The sequence below is a fragment of the Homo sapiens genome, chromosome 6 (assembly GCF_000001405.40).
Source record: "Homo sapiens chromosome 6, GRCh38.p14 Primary Assembly".
Classification (NCBI taxonomy): Eukaryota; Metazoa; Chordata; class Mammalia; order Primates; family Hominidae; genus Homo; species Homo sapiens.
In genome coordinates, this window is record NC_000006.12 from 84,225,259 (window position 1) to 84,243,008 (window position 17,750).

Here is a 17,750-nt window from a genome sequence, read left to right on the forward strand (position 1 = left end):
GGTATAGCCTACTCCACACCTAGGCTATATGGTATAGCTTATTGCTCCTAGGTTACAAAGCTGTTCAGCATGTACTGTACTGAATCCTGCAGGCAACTGTAACACAATGGCAAGCATTTCTGTATCTAAACATAGAAAAGTAAACATATGGTACAAAAGATTAAAAAGATACACCTTTATAGGGCAGCCCCATTATAATCTTACGGAACCATTGTTGTATATGTGGTCTGTTGCTGACCAAACCATCTTTATGAGGTGCATGACTGTACACAGAACGTGGTATAACCATTTAATATACTCATTCAAATATTTATTAAGTATTTATTAGGTACTGTAGACATAGTAGTGAACATGTTGATATATAATAGCAATGAACGTAGAGTCATCACATTACAGACCATACATTCTTATAATGGGAAGCAGAAAACAGACCCATACAAGAAAAATAATTAATGTGCTAAGTGCTATAAAAAGAATTAAATACATACCAGATTAAGAAGTGACTTTGTGTTTACCTTTTACTGGATAAACAGAAGAAGCCTCTCTGAAGTGGTGATATTTAAGTTAAGATTTTCACCAGCCAGGTAAAGAGTAAGGGAGGAGCATTATTGGCAGAGGGAACAGTGAGTGCAAAGCTCCTAAGGTGAAATGAGCTTGCAATGTCTGGGAAAGAAAAAAGGCCACTGTGGAATAAATAAAGTGGGTGAAAGAGGGATATGAAGGCAGTGAGATATGTAAGAGTGAAATCATGAAAGGCTTTAAAACCATGGTAAGGAGGAGTTGTTTGTTTTTTTTTTTCTACATGTGATGGGAGACCAATAGAGTCTTTTACTGGGGAGGAACAGAGTCTGACTGCAGTGTGGTGAAAGGAATGCTGGACCATGAGTTGAGAACTGCTGCCATAGCCCAGTTGAGATGATGGCACTGAACTAGCAGTGGCAGAAAAGGGACAGGGCTAGAGGGATGATGGGAATTCAGAGTTTGGTGATGGACTAACTGTATCTTCGAGATGACAGAATTGAAGGATGAGTCTTTTGAGACAAATTTGACAATATAGCTTTTAAAAATATAAACTTACCTCTTTCATAAACTGTTCAAACTCTTCATCTAGCTCTTCTTGGGAACAGTTAGCCATAGTCAACAATTTTGACCTCCCAAAGTAAACATTCTAAAGTACCTCAAACATTGGAAACACTAAATGACAAGAGACATAAACATCTTTTGAGGAAATCCATCAGATCATGAACACGACCAGACTTAAACTTCGGACATTTGTTATGATTCAGTATATATGCACAATTTTTTTTAACCAGTAAGAGCTGGTCAAGAGATTCCTAATTCATTAAGCAAACTGATTTGGAAAAGCAGCTTTGACAGGATGTCTTGTACTCAACGTTCAGAATTATGTTTTCATCTGTTAACATCCAATTGTTAAAGAGTGGTCTCTACAATATTTCCCAAACCTATGTTTGTGTGCATGTGTTAATTAGTACCTCTCAAACACAAACCAGGTCCTCACAGGGAATCTTAAAAACTGTAAGTTAGCAAATCCAAAGGACTGTTTCTTTCTTGCAAAGCACACGACAGTTTGTGCTGCCTTATCACTCGGCTCGTTATTTTACCAATCCATAGTAATAGTTTCGTAAAGCAGACTGCATAGTTTCGTAAAGCAGACTGTATCCAGATACGGGGATGTTTCAAAATATACACAAATAGAATTTAGTAAGAATTAGTAATTTAGTCAAAATACTTAAAGAATACTTAAAGTTAATGGAGTACACAAATCAGTACTATGTTTCTTTTGAAGCGAGGGAAGACCGACAAAAATTATGTGCTGAACACAAGCAGAATCCAGTGATTTGCAACGGAAAGCGTTCCCCTAGACACCTAATGAACCCAACCTTGGGTCGACCCCCAGCTCCTGAACTCCCTAGAGCAGCTCAAATCCCAGCTTTCTTCTGTAGAGATGGGGGAGGGGAAGAGGGCTTGCAGACCCGGACAATACCCTCCCCATCGTGCAGAGTAACACCTCTTCCCCTCATTTGCACTTTCGATCAGTTCAGGGTAAGTGCGGTTAAGGTCTTGGCCTGAATAGCTTGGTCAGGGGTGAGCTCCACTAAAAGCTTCTCAAGCCTGGCTGCGACCCCGTCCCCAGAAGCGCGGGTTCGGGAATTGGAGGGAAGACAAAGACGCATTTGCCGTGGGCTCCGGGCGGAGAAGGGGAATGACCTGGAAAATTAAAGCCCTTCGCTCGAGTATGAAGCACGGCCTCGACCAGGGCGATTTGGGTGGGAAACCAGCGTTCACACCTTACCACCTACCTCTGCCTCTGAATTCCGCGCTTTCCCGGAAGGTCTGTGCGGGTCCACCAGTTGTCAGGGTAACAGACTTCAGCTGCCGGGTTCTGGAGTCACATGACCCGGGCTGGTCACGTGGGCCGTGGGTTTCCCAATGCCTTTACAAGCGAAGGTCGGAATAACCACGGCTGAGAAAGACACTCTAGTGGCTAAACCTTCGCTGCTGCAGTAAAATGCCTTTCCTTCCCTGGCTTTCTCTACGTTCCTTAGAAAAGGGGACAGCGGCAAACCGGTTACTGGAGAAGCGAGACGGAGGCTTCCAGCAGGCTTGGAGGGCGCGGTGGTTGTAGGCCAGCCCGTGGCTTTCTGGGAAATGTAGTTTAGCTCCCCTGGTCCTTGTGTTTCCGCACTCCGCATCGTCGCCTCCCGCCTTCCCCACACTTGTCATTCGAGCGCTCTGTTTTTCCAAGGGGCAATTTTGAAGAGATTGAATTTCTTGGATTTCTTTGGCCTGCAAAGACCTGTGTAGGCATTGTGAGAGAAACACAAACCTGTGAGGAAAAAAACTGTCGTTTAGATGGGGACTCTGTTCCACCACCTAGTGGGCAAGAAATCGAAAATACGCAAACAGCAAGATTCTTATTAAGTTATTGCTCCTCCCGCTACCCCTACTTTTCAAAACTGCATTCTTTACTGGCATTTCACAATTACTGACTTGGATTTTGTTTTCTATTTCTTTTCTTTTTTTCAAAGCATGCAACATTAGCTGGAGTTTCAGAGGACAACATTTAGCATAGTGTAAGTAAAATCTACAACAGCTGCAGGTTTTGCTGATGGTAGACTTAGTTCAGGACCTCATCTTTAGCTAGAACTGTTTATTCATCAAGTCTTTCTTGCAATACAAATATGTACAAACCAGGAGCTGTGGACTATGATGCAAATATGAATAATAAAAGAAATATCTTAAGCTACCATTTATTGAGAAGTTGACTTCCTGCCACCTTCTATCAAAGACTTACCTTCCCACATATGATCTAGAGCCTTTACCCATTCTTCTTCTCACTGATCTTGTTCCACTGGTCATTTCCCTTAATCCTGTATCTTCGACTTCTGGCTGGCTGTGGGATTTTTCCTAACAGCATTTGAACATGCCTTGAGATCCCCACCTAAAACATCACTTCTGACACATTCTCTTCATGCTATTATTTCCCAGTGGTTGAAATGATCTGTCTCCTCACCTTACTTGCCAATCTTTTCTGAGGAATTATTTCCACTTTACCTCCCTTTTGTCAGACCTTTTAATCCTGTCTCTGTGTGTGTAAGTGTACATATATGACAGCGCTTTATTTGATCTCCCAATACTATTTGATACACTTGTCTCCTCTCTTTCTTGGTTTTTCTTTCACATTTATAGCCTCCCCTCAAGGGTTTTCACTGTCTCTGTCTATCCTAGCTGACCTCTAAATGTTAGAATTTCTTTTCTTTTCTTCTTTTTCTTTTTTTCTTTTCTTTCTTTCTTTTTTTTTAATTTCTATTTTTTTGAGACGGAGTCTTGCTCTGTCACCCAGGCTGGAGTACAATAGTGCGATCTCGGCTCACTGCAACCTCCACCTCCTGGGTTCAACTGATTCTCCTGCCTCAGCCTCCCGAGTAACTGGGATTACAGGTGCCCACCACCACACCTGGCTAATTTTGTGTTTTTAGTAGAGACAGAGTTTCACCATGTTAGTCAGGCTAGTCTTGAACTCCTGATCTGCCCACCTTGGCCTCCCAAAGTGTTGGGATTACAGGTGTGAGCCACCGCGCCTGGCCAATGTTAGAATTTCTTAGGGCTTATTTCTGGACTCTTATTCTGTCACACTTCATGGTACTTCCATACACCTACTCATTCAAGACAGAAATCTGGGAGTTCCCTCTCTCCCATATTTTATTCGTCAAGACTTGTTGGTGCTACCTCCAAAATGTGTCTCTATTCTGTTCATTTTACATCTTAATTACTAATGATAGAGGCATCTTTTCCTCTTGTCTGAGCTGCTTCATTAGCCTTCTAACAAGTTTCTCTATTTCTACTCCTATCCTCGTCTAACCCATTGTCTACACAATAGAAAATGTGATAATTTGAAAATGTAAATCAGGTTACTCCATTGCTGAAAATCCTACAATGATTTCTCTCTGTATTTGTACTAAAATCCAAATATCTACAAGGACTTGCATGGTATGGTCGGCACTATTCTCTTCTACAGCCTCCTCTCACCCCCACTCACCAAGGCATGCAGAATTATTTGCAGCTCTGGTACAGAGTTCAGTCCTATTGAGGTTAGAATTGGAGCTTTGGTATAAGGAGTGGAAGATGAATGTTACTGTGTCTAAAGAGTGAATAATCATTTTGTCTCTATGCGTAAACCTACAAAACTTATGCTTATAGGATCCAAGAGTTTGTTATGCTGAATTGTGGAAGGGATGTCACTAAATTTTTGGTACTGAATTGAATTGTTATACATTTTTCAAAATAATAGTCATTAAAAGAATGATTAATATTTTTTGAGAGTTTACACTGTGCTGTATACTATTGTATTCATTTTTATAAAATGAATTGACCTCATGACCCATAATTTAAAACACCATTTAATACTAGCTCTCATCATAAATATATATCTAAAATGTCAATGAAATGGCTACTTTAGTAGTTAAATCACTCTGGGTAGCATCAAAGTTTCCTACTTTTAGATTCTCCATAATTGTTACAGGTTTCTCAATCATTATGTGTTTCTTTTTGTGTTTCCTAGAATGATATGAAATTTGATTTATATTTGGTGTTTATCCAGCTCTCTAGTGAGGTTCTAGAGGGGGAGACTGTACCTCAAGCCTTATATTGCCTTTTCTCGTAGCAAACAGTACAGTGTGAGAACTCGGTCAACACTGACAGTATAGTTGTAGCCAAGACCTGCAACGGTAATGGGGTGTAAACTTAGCACATTGTGGGAGTGGATTAAGGAGAAGAACTGAATCAGATACAGTTACATAATAGTTCCAGTTGCTTGCTTCTTTACCTCTAATTTTCAGAAGTGGGTATTCTCTTCACTTATGTGGATAATGAGGAAGACACTGAAGGAATCGTATCATTCTAGTCATAAGAAAATTAATGGTTTTTTTGTTATTGCCATCGTTATTTTGTTTGTCAAAGTCATTGTTGACTTCTGCTCATTTGTCCACATCTGACTGCTTTTGACTACTTAAAATTTTTCTTAATTGTTTTGTATATGAAATGTAGTAGTCAAAGTTTAAGCTATTGTTATAAGTTGTTCCCAAGAAAAAGAATAATAATTCATAGTAGAATATTGAGAAATTGTACAGTCATATTTACAAGTATTTAAATGTTTCTAAAATACAGGCAGATGCTCTTTCCCTAGGGTATGCAGAGCTGCCCATTTACAATTATATCATGAACTCATGGATGGTGATTTAGGTCATGAAATTGTTTTTAAAATAATTCTTTAATAATCCAGTAAATGGCCACTGAGGATGTCAGCAATTTGGCTATGCTTCTAAATAATACAGTTATCAACATGGTTTTATAATTATTATGGAAATGTAAAAACACAAAAATTGACGAATCAAGGAAAAACTCAGCCTATGAAGACCCTGTGAGGAGGAAAAGACAAACTAAAGACTAGGATGAAATATTTGCAAACCACATATCTGACAAAGGGCTGCTATCTAGAACATATAAAGAACACTAGCAAAATAGCAAAAGCAAAATACACAATTAGAAAATGGACAAAAGACACGAGTGGACATTTCACCAAAGGGGACATGAGAAAGGTATATGAAAATGGTGAATAAGCACATGAAAAGATGCTCAGCATCACCAAGATATTCCACATCATTAGGGAAATGCAAATTAGAACCACAATGAACTATCAACTGGGTGAGTGTAGATATGAAGAGGTAGCATAGGAAATCTTTGTAGTGATGGAATTGTTCTGTATCCTGATACAGTAGCAGTTATAACAAGCTACATGTTGATAAGATTGCATACAAATGCACACACACACCACACATATACAAGTGAGTGCATATAAAATTGGTGAAATCTAAATGACGCCTGTCCCATTTTCCCCAACTTTCTGTCAATCCGTTACTAGATAGAATAAGATCATAGGTTATATATATATGTTTCAGAATCCTTTCTTCTAGGAAAATCTTGTGAGAAGCACAATGTATAAAACAAAGCAGAGTTGCAATGGTTGGGAGGCAGGTGAAGGATGGTTTTGAGCTCTCTTTCTATGCTTTTTTATTGGTCTTGAAGGGACCTCCCTTGAGCTCCAGAGTGCTGTCTAAAACTGATATTTTAGATTATAATTCCGTAACCCAGATAATCACAAAATTTCTACATCTATTAATATATAATCAATGTAATACATACATGAATTCCCCAGCAAGTTAGAGAAATAAGTATAAATATGTGTTTTACGCATATATACAAAATTGTGATTTTTAGCACATCTAAAATATGGATTAAGCTCATCTGATTATTGACAAATTATTAGACTGGGTCTATGTGATAATGTTAGTCTAAAATTAAGTTTTTTTGTATTCACATACCTTAGATGATGGGGAGGTGATTGGATATAAGAAGAAAATATTAGAATTTATTTTCAATTTATTTTTATCTCAAACTTAATAAATTAAAGTTTGACTAATATTGCGGACTAATTGCTATAAATATATTAATTTATAAATAAATATTCATAAAGTGAGTGTGTTTGCCTCCAAATAGTTTTACTGACAGGGCTATATGGAACATTACTGATTTACTGAATGGAACTCTTAGAACACAGAATTACTTTATTAAAATATGTCGATAAGGTAGAAATTTGAAGTTGTGCTTATTATTTCTTAAGCTAAATGTTTTGGATTACAAATATCACTATTTTGTTGTATTAAGAAACCTAATGAAGAAAATGATTATAATATCTTTTAGCCAGAAACAAGTATTTTTCCAGTCACAATCTGTAGTCTTAAGCATAAATAGGCCATATAGAGTCATTTTCTAACCGATGGTCCTTTATTAGTTCCAATTTTGATGGTTGATACTCTACTTTTCTGTGTGCTCCATTGGACTGTCTTATATGTCACATTCACATGTTCATGGCCTCGTCTTTTACTCTTGTCACTGCTGCTGGGACCAGTTTCGCTCAGGCTTGACTAGCTTCACAGATTAAGTCAAAAGTGTGCCTGCCTTAAGCCTGCATGTGAACCTCTTGCTTTCCACTCCCTGGGGTTTCTCTGATACTTGAGGGAACCCATTCAGCACTCAAAGCTTGCACATCGGAAGTGTAAGGGACTTAACTTCTGTGGGCTAACCCTTGACCAGTGTGGGGAGGAACCGATGAATAAATGCCTTCTGCTTTTCACCCTAGGGTAGACAGTATTGATACACATTTCATAAGACTTTTCAGAATGTCTGCTGTGATTTGGAACCAGTTGTTCACAGCAATGGTTTGATGATACATTCTTGTATTGGCTCGCTCGCTCTCTCTCTCTCTCTCTCTCTCTCTCTCTCTCTCTCTCTCTCCCCCGTCACTGTCCTTATTCATCACTTCTACTACTTGACAACTCATTTCCAAATACATTACTTTCATTCAAGTCTATGTTTAATGTTATCCTTTCAGGGGAACCCTGGGAAAGACAGATAGTATTAGAGTTATCCCTAGAAAGCAGACCATTAGGATAGGATTTGGGAACTGAAGAACTCATCAGTAAGATGGCAATGAAGACCCCATTGCTGAAAGAGATGGAGTGGTGATAACCAGTGGAATGCAATTGCTAAGATTCTCACATGAGATTGGTTAGGCAGAGGTACAGGTGGAATGTGAGGGGTTATTCATATAGTATGATGGCAAAGGTAATTATTAATATTGTAGAATGACTGGATTTTACTAATTGCTTTGGATGCCTTGAAATAAAGACAATTAATGGCTCAGGTCAGCCACAATCAATGTGCATTATAAAAGTCAAGGGCTTATATCAGCATTTGAGGAAATCATCCTTTCCTGCAGCTGCAGTAGAGTAGGTGGTGAAAGTCATGCCCAAGATCAAATTGTAAGAGTGGCACAGTTGCAAAGGGAATTGAAGCCACAACCTTTCTGGGTCTTCTGAGTCAGGGTTCTGATAGCAAATAGTGGAACACTGAACTTGGAATATGGACATTTGGGTGGATAAGTCTGGGAGTCTTGAACTCTCAGATTTCCCTGAACCCTCAATAATGGCAGAAGCACTCCCATTCTCCTTACTAGAGCAGAACATCCTCTTCCTGCCTAGAGACCTTGAAAAGACCTAAAGACCCTTATGTGAGGGAGGAAACTCACAAGATGATGCTTGTCCTCCTCAAGATCTGTCTGGTCACCATTCATTGTCCCCCTGCTAGTAGCTTGGGTCAGGTCTCAAAACACCTGAGCTGGGAAATATAGTTCTTTCTCCAGGAAGAAATGGTTTATAGGAATTGCAGGTCCTAGATTATATGTACTAAAAGAAACCAGGGAAATACATGTAGGGGTGAATTTTGAGAGTGTTGACTGGTGGGGGAAATAAAATAAGGCTGAACAGGGAAGATTTTATTGACATGAGAGCACTCACTCCTGAATTGGGGCTCAATTTCCTAGTAAGGACATCTGGAGCTGGTCTTAATATTCTTCTGGGAAGTTTCCTTGAAGTCTGCATGTGATGATGGCAAATAGGAAAATGAGACAGAAATGCTGAAATTGCTTTGGCTGGTATTAAGGAAGATTTGAGAAGGCTCATGAAGATAGGAATGTTAGTGTGGATTCTTTATATGATCTCTAGCATCTGTCACCTGACTTTGTTCCCTGAGAGGATCCAGAGGATATACCCTTCAATAAGACAGAAAACAATTGGCTGGTGAGGGGAACATCAGAATCTGAAAAACCTGGTGATGTCTATCCTCCCCATGTCAGGGTTAGTAACAGGAGATGCTGCTTGAAACTAGTCTCCCTAGTATCAGTGAAGGTATGGGATTTCTCAGTGAAAAGTATATGTGGTGATACTAAACTGTCAGAGGCAAGATGGTTGCAATTACTGAAATTGACAGAAGTCTATAGTAGCAGTCTGGCTGTCTTGACCTGCAGGAATCTGTGGCAATGGCTAATAAATTGCAGTTTGAGGGATGAGGTACATGGATAGCTGACTGGGCAATTTGTGTGTGTGTGTGTGTGTGTGTGTGTGTATGCAACAACAACAACCAAAATATCTTCATGTGATGTGCTCCATCAGAATATAAGAAGAATATGAGCATCAGCTATCACAATGGAAAATCTAGGTCCTTCATCCAGCTTCTAGATTTATGTAATTTTGTAGACCTAGATCTCATTGGTTAAAAGGCAGGGCGAGTGCCCTTAAGGAAAGACCCTGCATTGTCACATGAATAATTATAAACATTCTCCCTATCTTTCCACAAAGGGACCTATGACCATTTACTAGGGTAACACTGCACTGAGGAAATAATTATAGTTAGTTTTTTGAAGACTGTTGAATAGGGAGTATGAGCTGACCCTAATGCTAACTGCTTTAGAGAGCCAGAAAAGCTTCCATGGGTCTCTAGTTAGAGTGGGGGTGTTTGGAGGCTAGATGAAAACTGGAAATAAGAATAGTTAGACTTTTCAAGGATTGTTGGATAAAAGGTATGAGCTAATACTGATGCCAGGGAACCTGAAATGCTATCATGGCCTTCCAGTTAGCATGAGGGCATATGAGGAAAGGTAAAAGAGTCCTAGCCCAAGTATGTCTCACAGAGGTTACAATGGGTCTGTGGCTCACTCTTTGATTCTTTCCCCAGTCCATAAATAAATAATTTATAAAATTTCCAAGTATGTAACTGAAAGGAGCCTTATGTTGATTCCAGGATCTGTGGAGCCGTTATGGTAGGAAGTACTAAGTGGAAGTCTCTGAAAACATGCCACCAACATCCAAGTGAGTAAATCAGAATCAAGACCTCTTCATGGGAGGGATGGCAGAGACTAGCACCTCTATGTATCTGGAAAATATTGTCTTTTAAATCACCTTTGGAAAAAACATCAAAAGCAGTTGGTATGCACTTGGCTAGGATAATAGTTTACATTCACTATTTCCCCCCATAGCTGTATTAACTCTGCTGTTCTGTATCACAATGTAGCCTGTAGGAAACTTAATTGGCTTGTCATTTCACAACATCATGATAGTCTACTGAATGGCATCATGTTAATTGCACTAGATAAGGAAGAAGTGGCAATTATTCTAGATGCCCTAATTAGGCACATGAACACCAGAGGGTGGGATATGAACCCTACAAAATTTTAGACTACTGCCATATTTTTGAAATTTTAGATGATTATAAAAGATAAAGATAAAAAACAAATTGTTACACATTGGAACCTCCCACCCAGAAAAAGACATAGTGCTTCATGGGCCCTTGTAGATTTTAAAAGCAGCATGTACTGCATTTGCGAGTATTGTACTAACCCATTTATTGGACTTTAGTGTTACCCAGAGCAATAGAACGGTCTGTAACAGGTCCAGGTTGTAGTGTAAGCACGCTGGAAGCTTGGTCCACATGACCCAGAAAATCTGATGGTGGCTAGCAATATCCATGGTAAATAGGGGTGTGTTAAACATTCCCTAAGCCTCAATTGCATAGTCAGAAGACAGATCAGTAGATAGTGAAGAAGATCATGTTTTCTGCTCTTGAAAGCTACTTGCCAATTTGAAAAGTTTTTAGTGTGTTACATGGTCCTGGTAGAGGCTGAGTGCTTGACCATTAGTGTTTTAAAACCACAGTGCAATAAAATTAGAACTCAGTATTAAGAAATTCACTCAAAACCTCACAACTTCATGGAAACTGAACAACCTGCTCCTAGATGACTACTGGGTAAATAATGAAATGAAGGCAGAAATAAAGAAGTTCTTTGAAACCCATGAGAACAAAGACACAATGTACCAGAATCTCTGGGACACAGCTAAAGCAGTGTTTAGAGGGAAATTTATAAGAACTAGTGAAGCAAGTGCAAACAATTTCAAAAGCTAGCAGAAGACAAGAAATAACTAAGATCAGAGCAGAACTGAAGGAGATAGAGACACAAAAATCCCTTCAAAAAATCAATGAAACCAGGACGTGGTTTTTTGAAAAGATTTACAAAATAGACCACTAGCCAGACTAATAAAGAAGAAAAGAGGGAAGAATCAAATAGACACAATAAAAAATAATAAAGGGGATATCACCACTGATCCCACAGAAATACAAACTACCATCAGAGAATACTATAAACACCCCTACACAAATAAACTAGAAAATCTAGAAGAAATGGATAACTCCTGGACCCTTACACCCTCCCAAGACTAAACCAGGAAGAAGTAAAATCCCTGAATAGACAAATAACAAGTTCTGAAATTGAGGCAGTAATTAATAGCCTACCAACCAAAACAAGTCCAGGACCAGACGGATTCACAGCCAAAATCAACCAAAGGTACAAAGAGGAGCTGGTACCATTCCTTCTGAGACTATTCCAAACAATAGAAAAAGAGGGAATCCTCCCTAACTCATTTTGTGAGGCCAGCATCACCCTGATACCAAAACCTGGCAGAGACACAACAAAAAAAGAAAATTTCAGGCAAATATCCCTGATGAACATCAGTGCAAAAATCCTCAGTAAAATACTGGCAAACCGAATCCAGCAGCACATCAAAAAGCTTATCCACCATGATCAAGTTGGCGTCATCCCTGGGATGCAAGGCTGGTTCAACATATGCAAAACAATAAATGTAATCCATCACATAAACAGAACCGATGACAAAAATCACATGATTATCTCAATAGATGCAGAAAAGGCCTTCAACAAAATTCAACACCACTTCATGCTAAAAACTCTCAATAAACTAGGTATTGATGGAACATATCTCAAAATAATACGAACTATTTATGACAAACCCACAGCCAATATCATACTGAATGGGCAAAAGCTGGAAGAATTCCCTTTGAAAACCAGCAAAAGACAAGGATGCCCTCTCTCACCAGTCCTACTCAACATAGTATTGGAAGTTCTGCCAGGCAAGAGAAAGAAATAAAGGGTATTCAAATAGGAAGAGAGGAAGTCAAATTGTCTTGTTTGCAGATGACATGATTGTATATTTAGAAAACTCCATTGTCTCAGCCCAAAATCTCCTTAAGCTGATAAGCAACTTCAGCAAAGCCTCAGGATACAAAATCAATATACAAAAATCACAAGCATTCCTACACACCAATAACAGACAAAGAGAGAGCCAAATCATGAGTGAACTCCCATTTACAATTGCTACAAAGAGAATAAAATACCTAGGATTCCAACTTACAAGGGATGTGAAGGACCTCTTCAAGGAGAACTACAAACCATGCTCAAGGAAATAAGAGAGGACACAAACAAATGGAAAAACATTCCATGCTCATGGATAGGAAGAATCAATATCATGAAAATGGCCATACTGCCCAAAGTAACTTATAGATTCAATGCTATCTCCATCAAACTACCATTGACTTTCTTCACAGAACCAGAAAAAAACTACTTTCAATTCCATATGAAACCAAAAAAGAGCCCGCATAGCCAAGACAATACTAAGCAAAAAGAACAAAGGTGGAGGCATCACGCTACCTGACTTCAAACTATACTACAAGGCTACAGTAACCAAAACAGCACGGTACTGGTAGCAAAACAGATATATAGACCAATGGAACAGAACAGAGGCCTCAGAAATAATGCTACACATCTACAACCATCTGATCTTTGACAAACCTGACAAAATCAAGCGATGGGGAAAGGATTCCTTATTTAATAAATGGTGCTGGGAAAACTGGCTAGCCATATGCAGAAAACTGAAACTGGATCCTTCCTTACACCTTATACAAAAATTAACTCAAGATGGCTTAAAGACTCAAAGGTAACACCTAAAACCATGAAAACCCTAGAAGAAAACCTAGGCAATACCATTTAGGACATAGGCATGGGCAAAGACTTCATGACTAAAACACCAAAAGCAATGGCAACAAAAGCCAAAATTGACAAATGGGATCTAATTAAAGAACTTCTGCACAGCAAAAGAAACTATCATCAGAGTGAACAGGCAACCTACAGAATGGGAGAAAATTTTCACAACCTACTCATCTGACAAAGGGCTAATATCCAGAATCTACAAAGAACTTAAATTTACAAGAAAAAACAACCCCATCAAAAAGCGGACAAAAGATATGAACAGACACTTCTCAAAAGAAGACATTTATGCGGCCAACAAATATATGAAAAAAGCTCATCATCACTGGTCATTAGAGAAATATAAATCAAAACCACAATGAGATACCATCTCACACCAGTTAGAATGGTGATCAGTAAAAAGTCAGGAAACAACAGATGCTGGAGAGGATGTTCAGAAATAGGAATGCTTTTACACTGTTGGTGGGAGTGTAAATTAGTTCAACCATTGTGGAAGACAGTGTGGTGATTCCTAAAGGATCTAGAACCAGAAATATCATTGACCTGGCATTCCCATTACTGGGTATATACCCAAAGGATTATAAATCATTCTACTATAAAGACACATGCACACATATGTTTATTGAGGCACTATTCACAATAGCAAAGACTTGGAACCAACCCAAATGCCCATCAGTGATAGACTGGATAAAGAAAATGTGGCACATATACACCATGGAATACTAGGCAGCCATAAAAAAGGAAGAGTTCATGTCCTTTGCAGGGACATGGATGAAGCTGGAAACCATCATTCTCAGCAAACTAGCACAGGAACAGAAAACCAAACACCACATGTTCTCACTCATAAGTGGGAGTTGAATAATGAGAACACATGGGCACAGGGAAGGGAACATCCCACACTGGCTCCTTTTGGGGGTTAGGCGCTAGGGGAGGGATAGCATTAGGAGAAATACCTAATGTAAATGACAGGTTCATGGGTGCAGCAAACCACCATGGCACGTGTATACCTATGTAACAAATGTGCACATTCTGCACATGTATCCCAGAACTTACAGTATAATTTTAAAAATGTGGAAAAAAAGGAAGGAAATTCATACAACATGAATGAACCTTGAAAATATTATGCTACATTAAATAAATCAGTCATAAAAAGATAAATATTATATGATTCCACTTATATAGGGTACGTAGAGTCATCAAATTAATAGAGACAAAAAGTAGAATGGTGGTGGCCAGGGACTTGGGGGAGGGAGGAATGCAGAATTATTGGTAAATGGGTATGAAGTTTCAGTCTGGGAAGATGAAAAGGTTCTGGAAATGGATGGTGGTAAAAGATGTAATATGAAAAGTACTTAGTGGCACTAAACTGTATACTTAAAACTGGATAAGATGGCAATTTTATGTATTTTTATCACAATTTAGAAATATATATTTAAAGCATTTAAGGGTATAATAGAAGAAAACTTTCCTGAAATAAAGAAATATAAAGCCAAAAGAAAAAAAAAGAAAAAATCAAATGGCAAAGTGATTATGTGACTAGAGCCATATCGAACTGAGAATTATCAACTTTATCAAGTCTAACATCAAATAGGCACAGCAGAAAATCCACTCTGTTGTGGAAATGGTACAAGGCCTGAGCAGGTACAGAACATAGAAGTAATGTACTTTACCTGAATGGATGAACAAGACTCCCATAACTACCCCTTTCACACTATGCTGCTTCCTGATTCACACAGGAATTCCTCTTCCTGTTACCTCATGGGTATATCCTATGACCAACGAATGAAGGAGAAAATACCCTGGCCTGGTTCATACATGAATAAGGGTGATTTATTGATGCCAACCACAAATAGACTGTTGTCAGTCTACTGCTACACTCACAGGTATCCCTAAAGAAATGTAATACAGAGAAATTCTACCAGTGCAAAGAGCTCTAAGCAGAGCACATTTTCAGTTACTTACATGGAGATAGACATGGCCTGAGGTATTATCTATAGCATATACATAGACTACTGGGTAGTGACAAATGGCTTTGCTTCTTGTTCAGGGGCCTTGATAAAAACAAGATCAAAAGATCAAAGACAAGTGTATCTGGGGAAAGAGGCATATGGATGGATTTATGGAAGTAGGTACATAGCATGCACATTTGATATAGTTTGGCTGTGTCCCCACCCAAATCTCATTTTGAACTGCCATGTTGTGGGGGGCACCTGGTGGGAGGTGTTGAATCATGGGGCAGGTCTTTCCCGTGCTAGTTTCGTGATGGTGGATGAGTTTTGTGAGATCTGATGGTTATAAAAAGAGGAGTTTCCTTACACAAGCTCTCTTCTATTGCCTGCCACCATGTGAGATGCGCCTTTCACTTTCCATCATGATTGTGAGGCCTCCCCAGCCACATGGAACTGTAAGTCCATTAAACCTTTTTCTTTTGAAAATTTCCCAGTCTTGGGTATGTCTTTATCAGCAGCGTGAAAATGGACTAGTACAGCATTGCTATGCCTCATGTTAATGCTCACTAATGAGCACTCTAAATAAGAGGTACTTGACAACAAATAACACAGGTTAGGTTTCTCTGTGGGTGTGAGCTGTACTCTGTTTCGCTTTTACATATCTCACTGCTTGGATACTTGGTTTGTGAACAAATTTGCCACCACAGCTGGAAAAGAGGCTATTAATGGGCACAGCTCCCTAATGATGATCTAACTACTGCCCCCTGCTGAATGCCCAACTTGTCAGTAGTAGAGGCTGGTGGTGAAACCTCAATATGAAATTGTCAGAGTCCAGCCAGTCATTTCATATCAGATTAATTTTATTAGATCCTTTCCACCATGGAGATGGCAAAAATTCATCCTTGCTGGAATTAAAACCTACTATAGTAATGGATTTGCACTCCCTGCCAGTAAAGCCTCCACCATCACCACCAACTAAGGGCTTGCAGAAAGTGTTACCTATTGACATGGCATGTCTCACAACATTGTTTCTGCCCAAGTAGCTCATTTTATGGCAAAGGTGGTTCAGCAATGGGTGCATGATGATAGAATCCACTGGGATTACTAAATACCTCATCACCTGGAAGCTGATGATCTATGGTAAAATAGCCTGTGGAAGACTCATCTGAAGTTCCAGGTTGGGACAGGATGAGATACATGTATGTATTATATCAGTGGCTGATATATGGTGCTGTGTCCTTTAAGCTAGAATACATGGATTCAAGAACCAAGGGTTGGAAGTACAATTTGTCTCTTTCACCATTACTCCCAGGTGACTTATTTGTAAGGTTTGAAATCTTAGGCTTTGCTGGATTAGAGGTCCTGGTTCCCAGGAGGCAGAGCACTTCTGCCAGGTAAGAGTGCCACAGAAATGGACTATCTCTTGCTGACTATCTCTTTGGGCTCTTCATTCCAGTGATTGGACTCCTCATTCCTGGATCAGCAGGCGAAAGAAAATTAATATAGTTGAAAGTCTAGTCTATCCTTACATATGTAAAGAGCCATTGTAACTGGAGGCAGAGAGGACTATCCAGTGACTTGACTGATGCATCTGCTGGTGTTTTCATGCCAGGTAATAATGGTGAGTGGGTGGTTATGGCATCTATGATGTGATAAAGGAAAAGCAAGCCTTGAGAAAAAGGTCTGGGTTACTCTGCCAGGCAAGAAACCTTAAATCAGATGAGATGATGGCCAAGGGCAAGAGAAATCTAGCATTGGTAATGGAAGACAGAGATGATGCCTTTCAATAAAGTCTGGGGACCAGCTGTAGCAGGGGTTGTAGCTAGTTCCAGAAACCCTCCTGCAGAGATTGTGGCTGGCCAGCTCCTTAAAGGGGACTCTGAGATAGATTGAACTTAAGGAAGTGAAAAGATAGATTTGAGTAGTGCAAAGGATCTACTGCATCAGATAACACTGTGAGCATCACTTCAAATCTTCTTGGTGCCATATCTTACTGCAGTCCTTGTTTCAACAACCAATTCTTGTAGACTTTGACCAGCTTCCTGCAGGTGCAGCTGAAGACTGCCTCACTTTTAGCCAAGGTCTGAGCTTCTCCCTTCCTTGGAACTTTTCTGACATTGAAGTGTGAAATGTTCATTGAAATGCCACACATACACAAGTTGCAAGTGGTTATGTGGTAGTCAAAGTCCCAGGAGCCACCTTCACTCATGGAGAGTGGAAGCCCATGGAGAAATGATACTCTTTTCTTCATGCATTTAATTAGGGCTTCTCAAAAGATCTTTGAATCCAGCACAGGTTAGCCATAGCTGCAGTCATTTGACAATGAATTCTTGTTTCAGCTTTCTCATTTTCCCTGTTTTTATTCCCCCAATCATAGAGCTGCTCTCCGGGTCCATGTTCCCAGATAAATTCCTTGTGAGCAAGCCTTTTTGGAAGAAACTCAGGCCTAGAGAACAATCTTATTAACTAAGTTGAAACAATAAAATAATATA

The 17,750-nt window shown here is 39.3% G+C and overlaps 1 protein-coding gene across 8 annotated transcripts in view, besides 4 other annotated features; it reads right to left on the minus strand.

Annotated features, from left to right (window-relative positions):
* Positions 1 to 2,385, minus strand: part of CEP162 (centrosomal protein 162) — a 103,394-nt gene extending 101,009 nt beyond the window's left edge. For 6 of the 8 annotated variants that reach the window (XR_007059227.1, NM_014895.4, XM_047418388.1 and 3 more), the window contains exons 1-2: positions 2,322 to 2,385; positions 1,079 to 1,194 (exon numbers count right to left, since the gene is read on the minus strand). Coding sequence is in view for 5 of the 8 variants with exons in the window: in NM_014895.4 (NP_055710.2) it covers positions 1,079 to 1,135 (57 nt within the window). In the remaining 3 variants the exon portion in view is untranslated. The remainder of the gene's footprint in view (positions 1 to 1,078; positions 1,195 to 2,321) is intronic. The other 2 variants (XM_005248674.5, NM_001286206.2) reach the window with 1 other exon arrangement.
* Positions 1,798 to 2,298: an enhancer, noted in NCBI's record as "H3K27ac hESC enhancer chr6:84936774-84937274 (GRCh37/hg19 assembly coordinates)". NCBI's record gives its function as "activates a minimal SCP1, AML or CMV promoter by ChIP-STARR-seq in naive H9 embryonic stem cells {active_cell/tissue: H9 hESC(naive)}" and the evidence as "EXISTENCE:reporter gene assay evidence [ECO:0000049][PMID:30033119]".
* Positions 2,299 to 2,799: an enhancer, noted in NCBI's record as "H3K27ac hESC enhancer chr6:84937275-84937775 (GRCh37/hg19 assembly coordinates)". NCBI's record gives its function as "activates a minimal SCP1, AML or CMV promoter by ChIP-STARR-seq in naive H9 embryonic stem cells {active_cell/tissue: H9 hESC(naive)}" and the evidence as "EXISTENCE:reporter gene assay evidence [ECO:0000049][PMID:30033119]".
* Positions 2,299 to 2,860: a biological region, named in NCBI's record as "H3K27ac hESC enhancer GRCh37_chr6:84937275-84937775".
* Positions 2,701 to 2,860: an enhancer, noted in NCBI's record as "active region_24786". NCBI's record gives its function as "activates an Ori minimal core promoter by ATAC-STARR-seq in GM12878 lymphoblastoid cells {active_cell/tissue: GM12878}" and the evidence as "EXISTENCE:reporter gene assay evidence [ECO:0000049][PMID:35858748]".